Source organism: Homo sapiens, chromosome 15 (genome assembly GCF_000001405.40).
Source record: "Homo sapiens chromosome 15, GRCh38.p14 Primary Assembly".
NCBI classification, from domain to species: domain Eukaryota; kingdom Metazoa; phylum Chordata; class Mammalia; order Primates; family Hominidae; genus Homo; species Homo sapiens.
In genome coordinates this window covers 31,550,388-31,565,074 of record NC_000015.10, presented here as the reverse complement: position 1 = coordinate 31,565,074, position 14,687 = coordinate 31,550,388, and the positions used below count along the sequence as shown (strand labels likewise).

The window sequence follows — 14,687 nt, the reverse complement described above, 5'->3', positions numbered from 1 at the left end:
GTCTTCTCTGAGTTTCATCCTTTCTGCTGTATTTGTTTTGATGCTATCTTGTTAGGTATATGTATATTCATAATTTTTTAGATTATCTTCCTCGTGTGTTTTTTGACCAATATATAGGCTGTCTCTTTGTCAAGCCATTTGATATAATGGTTTTTATCTTGAAATCTGCTTTTGTTGATATTAAACAGCTACCCTGGCTTTCTGTTGGTTCATATTTGCCAGAAATATCATTTTTTCTGCTGATATAATTTCAACTTTTCCATATCCTTTCATGTTAAATGTGATTCTTGTAGACAATTTATTATTAGGTTTCATTTTATTATCCAATCCAAGAATCTCTGTCTTTTGAGTGGTTAATTCAATCCATTCTTCTGTCCTATCTTCTCTATCTAGTTAAATTTTTCTACTGGTTTGCAAGTTACACATTCTACTTTTACTCACATTGCAATTACTGCTATTCTATTAAAATCATTATTTTGGTTTTCTTCCTATTATTTTTAAAAACTTAACAACTATATTTTCCCCTGCAAAATACATGTATTAATATGATTTTATGTTGTTCTGTCCTGCCTCTACTTGCTCTCAATCTTATTTAGATACTTTTTGTTGCCTTTGCTTATTTAGATAACAATTAACTCCTTTATTTATTCACATGTATTCTTTTCTCTTTTGCTAAAAAAAAAAAAACCTTCCTCAAAGACTACTTCCAAAAACAGTTTTTGCATGGTGAATCTCCTAAGGCCTTGAGTGCCTAAAAAGATTTACATGGTATACTTAAATTTTCATTTAGTAGATTAAAAACTCTAGATTGAAATTATTTTCTTTGAACACCTTCCAACCCTTCCTCCATCATGTTCTTGCACCTTGTTCTCATGTCTTCTAAGAGATTCACTTGACCTGATGTTTTCACATCCCTATTTATTCTGCACATGAATGCATTATTAGTCCCATTAACATTTTTTTTAATCCCAAGTTAATTCTTTGTCTTTATTATTGTTATTATTATTTTGCATTCTGATATTCTATTTATCTCTTTGCATGTATTTACTAGGCTCATTTTTTAATCTAGTCCTCCTGGCCAGTACTTTGTTGCCTTTCTTTAACAGTTTCCCTGAAGCTCCTGGGGCACGCAGTTATCATCCATCTTCACTGTGCTGGAGCACAGGCTCTGGTGGATGCTCCTCCAGATGAGAGTCGGGGAAGGGTACTCAAGCTGGAGAGCCTTAGATGTTGTCATTTGGGCTCTAGAAGTTCCCTGCCTGTTCCCCTCTGCATAGCTGGATTGTCTACTGAGGGCTGCTCCCAGCTCCTCTCTTCTAGAAAGTCCTTGTTTCCTGTAGGGACTGCCCTGCTCTGGTGTAACCGCCAAGCTCCCCAGTGTGTTAGGGAAAGGAGGGAAGCAGTGCTTATGGTGACTGGTGCCCCACCCAGCTGTGCTCCAGCACCACCTGACATTCTCCAGCTGGCACAGGGCTGGGGCTAGGGGATGATAGGGAAGGCAGGCCATGCTGGAGCCATGCTGGGGAGAGGAAAGGCAGGACCAAGACGCCCTACCCCAGGCCCTCTCTGTCGGCCTCACCCATTCCCACCTCCTGCCCCTGAGGATTTCTAGGTGTGTGTGAGGACAGGACACTGAGGCTATGCACTGTCTTGCCCCTCTTGCTGATTATTCTTAAATTCGGTTTCATTTCTGCCATTAGACCTGACTCCAGAGGAACCACCCCTTCCAGTCCTTGGCTCGGTCTTGTGCTCAGGGCCTTCCTTGACTACACCACACGGTTAAGGCTGCTGGTATCTTTCAGGCAGCAGCAATCCAGACAGATGGCCACATGGCAGTCCTGCTCTTTTGAGCTGGCAGCAAACAAACCAACCCATTATCTTATCCTCCTGGTACAGGGGCTAGAAGGACCCTTCTCTCTGCTACCAGAGAGATTGGCAGAATCAGGGCCTAGTAAGTGTAGCTGTTACATACTGTGATCTGACTTTTCTTAGATATCATTTAAGAAAAAAAAAATAGGACTCTATCCCAGCATAATCCTATTAATTGAGCCTTGCGAGCAATCATATCGATTCCTATTGAATTACAGAGTTTCTGAATTAAATTTATGTCTCCTTTAGTTGAGTTCTTCCTGAAACCATAGTGTGCCAAAATGGAAAATGGAACATTTCATATTCTAAATCAGGGCCCAGAAAAAGACCTGTGAGCCCAATCTGGGCTGTTTTTTAAGTAAAGTTTTATTGGAACACCCCCACGCTCACTCATGTATGTACTGTCTTCGACGGCTTTAGTGCTGCAAAGACAGAGGTGAGTAGTTGAGACTGCATGGCCCACAAAGCCTAAAATATTTCTGTCTCACCCTTTAGGAAAAGTTTTGTCCACCTGTTTTAAAATATACCCAGGATCGGTTTTAATCAGGTGTCATAAGACACGCAGACACAGAAATGACTGTCATGAAGGTGGAAGTTGTTTTTTTTTTTTAACTCACAGTTCCTTGGAAACAGGAGGCCCAGCACAGCATGCAGGGCCACACGGGGAGGCGCCGGTCATCTGGAGATAGGAGTGAGGGGAAGCATGGGCCAAAGCCTTTGAGGTGGTTTCTATGGGAAGGCAGGGCAGGGGGAGCAGCCCCCTACCCCAGCTAGTGTGCATAACGGCAGCCAGCTCAGAGGCACCAGGTACCAGGTACCAGGGCCTGTCTCCGGCTGCCTGGTCCCTGGCCTGAAGTGCTTAGGGCAAAGGAACGTTGCCTCCTGGAGAGTAAGAGCCAGCTGGAGAGGGTAGTCAGGAGTGTAGATTCTGGATTGGCTGCTCCGCATAGGAGAGGTGTGCTGCGGGGCAAGGCCTTTGCCATCTCTTAACATTGGCTCACCTGGGAGGGGCAGCCTCTCCCCAGTCAGGGAGGTCCCAGGTGCCAGAGCCACAAAAACAAAGAAAATAAGAAAACGCAGGGCCAGATGCAGTGACTCATTCCTGTAATCCTCGCTGAGCCCAAGTGTTCAAGACCAGACAGGGCAACATGGCAAGACCCCATCTCTGTAAAAATTAAAAATAAAAGGAAAATAAATGAAAAAAGAATATATAGTTAATACATCTCCCCTTTGTCAGTGGCAGGGAAATTCTGTACATTCTTGTACTATGTTTTGTTTTGTTTTCTAATCTTTCTGTATTTTTCTGAGACATAACTTTGATCATGGTAATTCCTGTAAAACATTTTATTTATACATCCAAAAGTAGAATCACTGAGTTCACGTTTAAAGAATCAGTGTGTGAATGTGTGTGTGTGTGTGTGACTCTGTGTGTGTGTGAGAGAGATGATATGTGTGCATTCCTGGGGTGTCACAGGAAATGTTAGAATTAGGAGCATATATTTCTCATTTTATATGATCTTCAACGCAATCTATTAATATTTTTAGTTCAAAAATACTTTTTTCCCTCAAACTCCAAATATTTCATGTTTAGAACTGCAGAACCACATCATGTTGTCCTAGGAATCACCGTGTTTCCAAGGCCATCGAAGTGTCTCATGTGGGTGCTGATTGATGGGCCCGGGAGGAGCATGGGTGCCCCTGGACAACAGGTGCCCACTGTTGAGAGCAGCCTTGAGATTGTCTGTCCCACCGATTGCAGGTGCACATAGCACCTCGATTCTCTAATGCCTGATGTCCCTCTCCATCAGATTCCGAAAAATGGGGCAGTTCCTTCTTTCCCAGATACAAAAATGGTAGTTTGTGGCAAGATGAGTGGCCTCAGCATGGCTTGCACGAGGCAGAAAGACACAAGCCTCCACTGCTCCTGCACTCAAGGACCTGAACCAGCGTGGGAAGCAATGGGCCGTCCCCCACCACCCAAGCTGGGCCCATGTGCTCCCTCCCTCTTCTTTCTAATGTCCTGTGTGGTTTAACTTCTCTTTTTACCTTTCTGCAAAATACAAAGAACTTAATCCTGTTGGTCTCTGAATGAAATTGAAGGTGAATCTAAACCACCCATTGCGAAATGTAGTCTGTCTCTGTGACTCTGTATTCATTTTAATGGGAAAAATACATGAACCTTCTGGAAATTAGCTTCGGATTTAAAACTAACTTGCCATAGGATCAAAAGCTTATGCTTTTTAGTCTGTTGTAACAAAACTCCATGAATGCCATTTCTGTCCAGTGCTCTTGCAAGTGGGGAAGGAAAATGCTGCTGTTCCGGGTGAAAGCTGGGGCTGGGTTTTCCGTGTGACCGTGGTGTGCTGGTCAGTGTGGACCTCAGAGGGGCATTGCAGGAGCACAGACCTCACCAGTGGGCAGGCTGAACTGGAGGACAGTGGGATTCCTTGGGACCTCAGGGAATAGCCTCAGGAATTTGCCACAGGGCTTAGACAATGCTTATTTATACTTAATTTAGGCAACACAGGCAGCAGGCTTTTGAATAAAACACCAGAGACCATGCTTTCCTGAGAAAAATGAAAGATCTACTGCCCTGCTAAAAAGACTTCTCCTTACTGAAAACACTATGAGAAAAGATAACCTATTCTTAACATATATTTAAGCATTCTTGTTTTATGTTCAATGTTAGTCATTAGAACACAGGGCTTATAAAAACAAGCGTGCTTTTGCAGCATCAAGAAGATACATCTACTTTCTAGGTAATCGACTTCCTAACATGGTAACATATTGTACCTTAGAGAAATCCTACACTGCGTTTCTCATTCCCTGGCTGAAAAGCCCAAGAAGAATAAAGCCAGAGGAGAGCATTATTTTTGAGAGTGCTGTGGCAAAAGAATATCCAGACAGAAGAGAAACACATGGACTGACTTAATATTGTGTGTCCTGGGAGGGCCATGTAGGAGGCATTTATCAGCGTAACTTTAGTAAAACAACCTGTCTTAAAACCTGAGCTGCTGTGGATGCCTGAATGATTGTTTCTTTGCATTAAGTGCATAAATGCATCGAGACAAAGAGCGGTCTCCCTTGTACCATTTAGTCCTGGGAGAGGACAACTCAGTGGAATTGAGGTAGATGTAACTTCAGACCCAAGAGCAAGCCTGGTGCTCTTTGACAGTGCTGATGTGCAGTTGTACTGTGGGCTTGCAGCTCCCCACTTACTAAGTGGTTTCATGACTCTTGTGAATAAGTGCCACATACCAGGTGGTGGTGATTAATCCAGCAGCAGGAAGGCCTGCAGGATAGAAAAGGCTTGTAGGATATAAGGGCTGTTGCAGAGAGAATATGGGTGTGCATGTGTATGTGTGTGCACACATGTATGTGTACGTGTGTATGCATATAGTCTGTGCATGTATGTACATGTATGTGCGCTGTGTGTCCTGTGTATTTGTGTGTGCAAATACATCTATATGTGTACACGTATATAGTATGTGTATAGTCTGTAGTGTATGTGCGTGGGCATGTATATATGTGTGTAGTATATGTGCCAACTGTTTCTATGTGTGTGTCTGCATGCATGTATGTGTATGCTATGTAGTGTGTGCACATGTATGTATACAAGTGGATGTGCAGTGTATATGTGTCTAGTGTGTGCATGCATATGATCCTGTGTATGCTTTCGTATTCATGTGTGAGCATTTATGTGTGTGCATGTGTGTGTATGCGTATGTGTGCAGTATGTGTATGCACATGTATATCTCTGCTTATAAGTGTGTGTGCACATGTATATGTATGTGCGCATGTGCCATGTAGTATATATGTGTGAACATGTATGGTGTGTTCATATGTGTGCACATATGTATTTTTGTGTGTTGTGTGGTATGTGCATGTGTGTGGTCTGTGTGCATGAATGTGTACCTGTGTGTGTGTATTGTGTGTGCATAGTATGTGTGTTTATGTACATAGAGCCACACCTACACCCACTCAGCCCTTGGGGCTATCTTTCCTTCTCCCCCTGCAGAAAAGCGGCTTTCCCGGGGGATTTCCCACGCCAGCTCAGCCATCGTCTCCCTGGCCCGGTCCCACGTGGCAAGTGAATGCAACAACGAGCAGTTCCCCCTGGAGATGCCAATCTACACATTCCAGTTGCCAGACCTGAGCGTGTACAGCGAGGATTTCAGGAGCTTCATCGAGCGGGACTTGATCGAGCAGGCAACAATGGTGGCTTTGGAGCAGGCAGGTGAGTTGCCCCTGCCAGCAGGCCCACCCTCTTTAGGCTTGGTGAATGGTGAGCTGGCCTAACCTACTCTATGAGCAAGAGAAGGGCACATGTTCTCAGACTCTGGGCAGTTTTCAGTTAGGATTCTAGATGCTGCACCGCACCTCCTGCTCTACGGGCCGACAGTGTTCTAGCCAGCATGGGCTGGATGGAGGGGCCGATAACTAGGTGGTGCTGAAATCTCTCGAGTTTTCCCCTTGCTCCTAAATCCCAGTCCTCCTTTAAGGAGAACTCTATGCTTCTTTGCCTTGCTTCTCTCTTTCCCCAGACAACTCCTCCGTGGGTGTTGAATGAAAGATAGGAAAGACCATGGGCTTTAGAGAAAACGGGAGACCCGCCACTTCCTGTGGACTTGGGCAAGTCAGGTGATCTCTCTCAGCCTCAGTTTCTCCATCTGCAAAGATGAGGAGACTGCTGACCCGGCAACGCTTTGGGGTACTAAGTGACATGTGCTTTCCATAGCTGTCCATTCCCTGCCTGCGCAGCCTCTTCCAGCTTCCAGGTTAAGGAAGCACAAAACCTGACCTCAGTCTCCTTCCTTCTCCTTAGTGTTTCCTCACCACCCTAACATCCCAATGAAGAAAGCGTTCAAGAAGCAAGACAAACTCTCTTCTTTGGAATGTTTAAGGAGAAAATAATGAGTCCAAAACAAATGTCTAAAACAGATTTAGGTTCTTCCTGAGACAAAGCAATGCCAGTTTCACTCATAATCATTCACATTATAAACATTGCAAAATCACATATCTGGGGGTTTCTCAGGCACGCATGTGGAAGATGTTATGGCTGTCTCCTCAGGCCCACCACGCCCCTCCCAGTGGGAGCCCCGCCTGCCTGCACGGGCTGACAGTGCACATGGAGCATGTCCTCAGCCAGTGGGAAGCCCTGCTCCTGCTGGGGTGGGGAAGCATCGCCTTCCAGTGCTGACCCAGCCTTCAGCCAGCTCTTCATGTCCACTGTGGAGTGGAGCCTCCACTTCCAAGGCTTGGTCCGTGGAGACGTCCCCAGATGTGTCATCCCAGGAGTTTAGGGCTGCAGCCAGCAATGCACTGTTAGGGAGTAGAGCTTTTCTCGGTGCTCGGCGAAGACCCAATAAAATTACCAAGCACTTTCTAGAGTTCCAGAAGAAGACAGGAGAGAAGTACCTGTAGGTTGGTATGATTCTGATATTGGTGGATGGACCAATCAGGACCCTGGTAGGAAAGAAAAGGCAGCACAAAACTGTGAGATAAAGGACTCCATAAAGGGACTGCTTTCCAAGGAGTGGGCAGGATTTAAGGACACTAGTGAAGGATACTACCGTTCCTGGGACTACCCTCAGGCCTGGCAAAAAGACAAGGGATGAGAGTGGCTGATGGAGATAGCCACGGGCAGTAGGTGTGGCATCCGGGAGAGAGAAGATGCTGGGGAAATAAATACTCTGACCACACTCTTCCTCCACCATCCAGGTTCTGACCAGTGCCTCTTAATGGCAGAAGGGCAGATTGCGGGGAGCTCACTGATGTGGTCCACGCAGGTCACCCTCTGCATACAGAGCAGCATGGAGAAGGATAGACGGTAGATCTGTGGGGCCAATGGGAAACATCCAGAAAGTCAATGTGCCGGGAAGTTTTACCAGACCTGGCTTCTGTGTACACGTGTACACCTGCTTTCATGCCATTGCTTGTCATTGTTTGCCCAGGGCTGTCGTCATCCACCACTTTCAAGAGGGAAGGCACAAGATGCGTTTAGACAAAGGACGAGATGTGCCTAGTGGGGCTTATTTGTGTTGGGCAGGCTTGCAGTCAGGTCGTAGCCACAGGACTCATAGAAGCCTCACCAATGGCATGCTTGACATTAGAACAGGCTCTACATTCCCAACAGCTGGATCTCATGTTGTGACTGTGGAGAAATTCTCATCTCAGCTGCTTCGCAGCCATCAAGAGCAATCCAATGACTGGCACCCACAGCCTTGCTCTGTCTTACCTCAGCAAGACTCAACAAACAAAACAATTCAGCTAGATTAGCAATAATCTAAACCACTCACTGTGGGGGCTGGCTATTTTAAAGACGCTTCTATATGACTAATTCAGATAAGATATTTTCAATAGAAAAAGCTCACTATTCATAGAGAAGCGGAAATTAGTATTTGTTAAGAAAGAAACAAGTTTCATGGGTTACTCTCTGTTGAATGCTACGGCGGTGTAGACCTTTATACAGCTCAGCACTGACGATTGCTAATAGCTTGGGTGATCATAGCAGCTGCCTGAGTGCTGTGTTTCGTGTGAAGCACAGTCTCATGCAAGGTTGTAGGTAGACCCCACCATGTTACCTTCTCCTTGAGCCCTACCATGCTTAGCAAAAGCCTTCACTTCTTTTGAACGTCTTTTCTGTTATTTTTTTCCATATTTTGCATTTTAATTTTTATCACTTATATTTTACCTTCCAGACTAGCATTTTAAGATGGGACTCTGGCTTCATCCAGTCTTGAAAAATACCTTTTAAAAACCCAAACTTAGTGAGTTAAGATGTTAAATTATGAATAGCTCATTGTTTATGTTGGGCACCACGAAGAGAACCAACTGGAAGCAGAGATCAGTGAAGGCAGGAAGCTCAGGCTCCCACCCAGTGGTGGAGAAGCCATCTGGTCTACACTCGCAGGAGGCCTTGAGGAAGTGGGTCTCACTCTTCAGGGAGTGGTCAAAGGTGCTTGTGGTGCAATTCGCGCCTGAAGATCAGGGATCTGCCTGGGACAGGAGTCCTAGTAGCCAACATGTCTTCCTCGTCCCTCACGCTGAAAAATAATAAAAGTGGCCAAACGCGATGGCTCACGCCTATAATCCTAGCACTTTGGGAGGCCAAGGCAGGAGAATCACTTGAGCTCAGAAGTCCGAGACCAGCTTGAGCAACATAGTAAGACCCCATCTCTACAAATAATAAACAAATTAGCCAAGCATGGTGGTGCACGCCTGTGGTCCCAGCTACTCAGGAGGCTGAGGTGGGAGAATTGCTTGAGTCCGGGCAGTCAGGGCTGCAGTGAGCCATGATCACACCACTGCACTCCAGCCTGGGTAACAAAACCCTGTCTCAAAAAAAAAAAAAAGAAAAAGAACAGAGGTACGCAGACAACTGTGTGTGTGCTCCCTCAGAGGAGTGAAGCAGTCTCTGGGCTGGGTGATAGCATGAACCTGACCCCTGCCCACCATCCATCTGACTCCTCCGAACTCCTTTCCTCTGCTCTCAAGCGAGGTCTTAGACTAGGTCATTTCTCAGTGCCCTGCTATGCTCAGACTCACGTGAAGACCCTCAGCCGGCCAGTGCTAAAGGGTCTCCCACAGCCCATCTGGGTGAGGAGTTTGGTCACTGGAAAGCACTGGCAGCTCCTGTACCTTCCACCCCACAGCCAGGCTCTGCTCCCGTGGCCCCCACTGTCACAGTCCACTTTTCCATCATGAAGTGGCCATCCAAGAAAGCTGCTCAGTATTGCTGGGTACAAAGGGTAAATGCCTCTTCCTAATAGCTTAGTGCTTAGAATCTTTATGAATAAACTATTTATATGCAATATTATTTTACTGAATACATGAGAGATTGAAATACAGATGTCAAAAAATTATTTAGTAAAAAAAAAATCCATTTGTTTAAGGGACAGTTCTAGCTGTGCTTGGCAGGAAACATTATTTCTGTCATAAGACTTTGGGTGGAGGACTTCCTTTTCCCTTGGACAGAACATGAACCCAGGGCTCAGGTGGTTCTGAAAACTGGCAAACAGTGGCCTTCACTCAGTTAACATTGCCCACCATCCAGCTGTCCATCCTGGGGCCTGATTCCACTCTCCTGGGGCCCTGCGTGGTATCTGCCTGGCCTCCCGAGCCACATAGGCAGCCCCGTCTATTTTTGAGGCCTCTGTGTCAAGTGGGGTGCCAGTCTGAACTCCCATAAAACCCACAGATCTGGGAGACTGGTCTTCCCCAAGTCTTCAAACCCTGGAAAACACAACCCACTCCCACCTCATGACAGTCTCAGGGCAACAGAAGGGCCGGATCATCTGGGCCTAAAACCAGCTGACCTCCTGAGAGGAAGGGAAACACCTTTCGTTCTTTAATGACTAGCCTGCCATTGAGAAGGCAAGAAACCACTCCTTTTGCCATCAGCTGATCCTGCTGCATTTACACAGGAGATGGCTCGGAGACCGGGGTCTCTGGGTTGGGAAGTATCATCTGCTGCCTGTGGCAGCAGCTAACCACCATGTGGGTGAGATGGTGTGGTTCTTCAGTGTGTCTGGGGGCAGAGGGCAGAGGCATTTTTGTGTAATGCAGGAGTCACTGCATACATGGGAGATGGAAACGCATGTTGAAAAATCTCTAGGCACACCTTTGAGTTGTGCTCCAGGGGAGGATAATTGGATTGAGGGGAATCTGCCAGAGAATGGTAAGTTACAGAGGAGGCTTGTGGGCTTCTGAGTCAGCCCGACCCTGGCTTGAGGCCCGGATTGGCAGGGGGAGCTTGGCCACGTCACTTGGCCGGCTGGAGCCTCACTTCCTTCCCTCTGAAAGTCAGAGATGTGTAACGGCGGCCAAATGGAGACAGATTGACCCAGTGTCAGCCTGTGTTGAATGCCCACGAAATGCCCCATCCAGGTCTGGGGCTACCTCCACACTCCAGGCAGATGAAACCCCTGCCCTCAGGGAGGTGAAATTCCAGTGGAAGAAAGCCGATGAACAAGGGGAGCATGAAAATGAAGTGGGGCCTCAGAGGCTACTCTGGGGAGGTTAGGAAGGAGAGGGAATCCCGGGATGCCGCTGGAGGGCAGGGAGGGAGGCAGCAACAGACACCTGCGGGCCTGGCTTTCCTGGCAGAGGGAGTCTAACATCAAAGTCTTGGCATATTTAAGGAAGCCAGTGTCACCTGAGCTGGTGGAGCGAGGGTGAGAGGATTTGGAAAGGAGGGCAGGAGAATGGGAGCCGGGCGCTAGGGAGCCTCGTCCTTTAGGCTTCACTGAAGGTAGATAAGCAGCCCCTGGAGGGTTTTGAGCCGGGGGCTGACGCGTCTTGATTCACATCTGACAGATTCTGGCTGCTGGAGAATGGACTATGGGGTGGTAAGAGAAGAAGCTGGAAGAGCAGGGAGAGGCAGTTGCTCCAGACCAGGGCAGAGAGAGACGGCTGGCAGGGTCGTGGGGGTGGTAGTGCAGGTGAGGGGCAGTAGAGAGACACGGCTATGGGGTACGTTTTGAAGGCAGACCTACAGGCCTTGATGATGGAGGGCTGGGGCTCTGGCAGGCAGGGAAGAGTCCAGCATGGCCCTAAGAATGTTACCCTGAATATGGGGGTAGATAATGTTGCCTGAGGAGATGCAGACCCCTGGAGGAAGGGCAAGAAGAAGAGGCCAGCACTGTCAGGCAAAGCCCGAGACTGTAGTGAGACTTGTAAAGTTGCTGCCCAGATGAACATGAGGGTCTGGAGTCAGAGAGAGCCCTGCGTTGGGGATGCAGATGTGGAGTTAGTGCCCTAAAGTGAAACCCGTGGGATCCCGGAGTGAGCTCCTCGTAGGACCCTCCCACCATGCCCCCAACCTGGCTCCATGCAGTGGTGAGCATGAGTTGGACACACTTGTCTGGAGCATGGACAGAAAACAAGCTTTCCAAAGACTCAGGCTGGGGCCCTACAGTATTGAGGGCTGAGGAACAGAAGAAGGAGCCAGCAGAAGAGACTGGGAATGTGCGGGCCTGGGAATCAGGGCGAACCAGCGGTGGATAGTGACCCTGACGCCCAGGGTGGAAGGTGTTTCAAGAAGGGAGCAATCAGTGGTGCCAAATATGCCAGTAAGTCAGTGTGCACTAGAAACTGACCGCTGGGTTTGACTGTGAGGGCAAGGTTCTCGGGAAGCCATGCTGCACTGTGCTTGATACAGAGAAAGGTCAGGAAGTGGCTTCCATTCCCCTTCTCCTTATAGCTCTCACCATCGGCTGCTGTGAGTCATCTCTTTCCTCCAGCTACTTTTACACTCCCTTGCCTTCCATCTCGTGAGGCTTCCATTGGCCTCCTAGCTACCTGGGACCATTCCTTGCTTCCAAAGGCAGCTCCTCCCATGGCCAGTTGCCAAGTTTGCCTTCCCATCCTTGCTGTGCTTTGGAGCTTCCTCCACCCATCAGTCAGGCAGAGTCGCGGCTGCGACTCTGGGCAAGCCTGGAAATACCACGTTCCTTTGTGGGCCAGGTGCAGCGTTGGGCAACCCTGGGCATAGGGCCTGGGCCAGAGTGTGGGAGAGACAGAGGCCAGGGTTCACATCTCCTCAGCGTAGTGGTCACAGTGTGGTTCCTGTGCAGCCCCCTGAGGGGGCGTCAGGCTCTCCTCTGTGACGTCGTGATGAAGCAGCCCACCTTGTGGGGCTGTTGTGAAGATGAACTGAGGTCGTGTGTGCACAGGGCTGGATGCATACTCAGCATCAAGTAAATGGCCTCCTCTACTAATTTTTTATTTTCATAGAGTGGTATTTCCTATTTTTCTTTCTTCACACTTTTTGCTATAAAGAATTTAAATTGTGACCAAATACTAAGTTATCTTCTCCAGCATTACAATTATTCATTAGTAAACATTGAGCACCTGTGGTGTCTCAAATCCTATTGTCATAGCCCATTTGCATTGCTTTAAAGGGATACCTGAGACCAGGTAATTTATAAAGAAAAGAGGCTTATTTGGCTCACAGTTCTGCAGGCTGTACAAGAAGCATGGGGCCAGCATCTGCTTCTGGTGAAGGCTTCAGGAAGCTTCCAGTCCTGGCAGAAGGGGAAGGGGAAGCAGATGTATCATATGATGTGAAGGGGAGCAAGAGAGGAGGTGCCAGACTCTTTTTAACAATCATCTCATGGGAACCAATAGAACAAGAACTCACTCATTACTGCGAGGATGGCACCCTGCCATTCATGACGAATCCACCCCCATGACCCAAACACCTCCCACCAGGCCCCCCTCAACATTGGGGATCACATTTCAACATAGATTTGGAGGGGACAAACATCTCAAACTATATCAACTACCAGGATTATTGGGGACAACCAAGATGAGGAACACAAGGCCCCTGCCCCAGAGGAGCAAAGGACATGAAGGCAATACCGCAGTCCCATGGCAGGAGCTCTCACAGAAGCACGTGCAAAGCACAGTGATGCCCAGAGAGGGGACATCCGAGGGCCCAGGTGGGGAGGGAGCACTCCAGTGATATTAAAAGGAGTTACAGTGTCACATTTAGGGCAAGAATCCCCTCATCTTTCTGATAGAGAATTGTCACGTTTTGTTTTCTTTCATCAAAATGTCGTGGGGTGATGAGCAAAAAGACATCTTATTTTAAAGTGTGTGGTAACCACCTGCTCCAAAGCTGAAGTTAATTGGTCCCATTATCACGGATGAATCAGAGGACTATTGCTCAGAAAAGTCAGAATAAGTGACTAATAGCTCCCCACGTGTGAAACCACCTGCCTCTCTCAATGGTGTTCACCTGTGATTTTCTTATTTGCAGAACCTCAAGTTTTCAAGCTATTCACAATGCCAGTGCCCGTGTCTTGTTCCTGTTCTGTGGTTATGTCATGGGGAGTTGGGAATGACCACTCTGTCAAAGCCAGGAATAGAAACATGAAACCATGAAACTTTGCATGTTCCCAATCGCACTCCTTGTATGGAGCACACCTTTATCTCGGGCACCACATTCTAGGTTCTGCTGGATGTTAGAATAGCACTGGGCCATGATGGGGTCTCCGGAGGCTGGAAAGTGCTGGCATTTACCATGGCTGGGCCATCTTTTCAGGGCGGTCACGTCTGATGTACAGCCCTAGGAGTGCTCTCAACTGAGTAAGAGTCTTAACTTCTAGAAGCTGGCTTACATCAAACCACTAAGCCTTGCCCTCCATCCACACAGCTGCTCTAGCAGGCTGCATCCTGCCTACCTGCCCTCTCCCAGGTGTGCACAGTCTCAACAGCCTGGGCCACACTGTTATCTGCACAGGTTACAGGAGCTGTCTGCTTGCCCTTGAGCATTCAGGTGTTTCTCTGTGCATAGCTCCCGTTAGCAGCATGCACTTCAGGGACACGAGTAAACCTCCCAGACACCTGCTGAACACTCCCAGGATACGCCTCCCAGGATACACATGTGAAATGAATGGACAGAATTCCTATTTAAATATCCTTGGGCTAAAGGACGCTGTATGCATTTCTATTTCTGCCTAACAAATTACCACACATTTGGCAGCTTAAAACAGCACAAGTGTATCATCCCACAGCTTCCGGGGGCCAGCCGTCTGCTGTGCTTTAGCTGGGTCTGAGACTCTGCTCATAGTCTCTCAAGGCTGAAATTAAGGTGTCCCCTGGCTGTGTGCTCATCTAGGGGCAGATCCATAAGTTCCCTGCGGTTGGCAGAATTTAGTTCCTTGCAGCTGAATGACTGAGGTTCCATTTTCTTGCTAACTGTTGGTGCCTAGAGAGTACCCAAGAGACTCAGGAGTGATGCAGGTTCACTGTGCGCTGCTTCCTTGCCAAGTCTCATGCATGTGTACAGGTTGCACAAAGCAGGTGTCTTA

At 47.7% G+C, this 14,687-nt stretch overlaps 1 protein-coding gene across 3 annotated transcripts in view, besides 1 other annotated feature; it reads left to right on the top strand.

Annotated features, from left to right (window-relative positions):
* OTUD7A (OTU deubiquitinase 7A) overlaps positions 1-14,687 on the top strand; it is a 395,276-nt gene that overhangs the window by 305,599 nt on the left and 74,990 nt on the right. For all 3 annotated transcript variants that reach the window (NM_001382637.1, NM_130901.3, NM_001329907.2), the window contains one exon: positions 5,888-6,106. In NM_001382637.1, coding sequence (NP_001369566.1) covers positions 5,888-6,106 — 219 coding nt within the window. The remainder of the gene's footprint in view (positions 1-5,887; positions 6,107-14,687) is intronic.
* Positions 10,184-10,767: an enhancer, noted in NCBI's record as "H3K27ac-H3K4me1 hESC enhancer chr15:31846511-31847094 (GRCh37/hg19 assembly coordinates)". NCBI's record gives its function as "activates a minimal SCP1, AML or CMV promoter by ChIP-STARR-seq in naive H9 embryonic stem cells {active_cell/tissue: H9 hESC(naive)}" and the evidence as "EXISTENCE:reporter gene assay evidence [ECO:0000049][PMID:30033119]".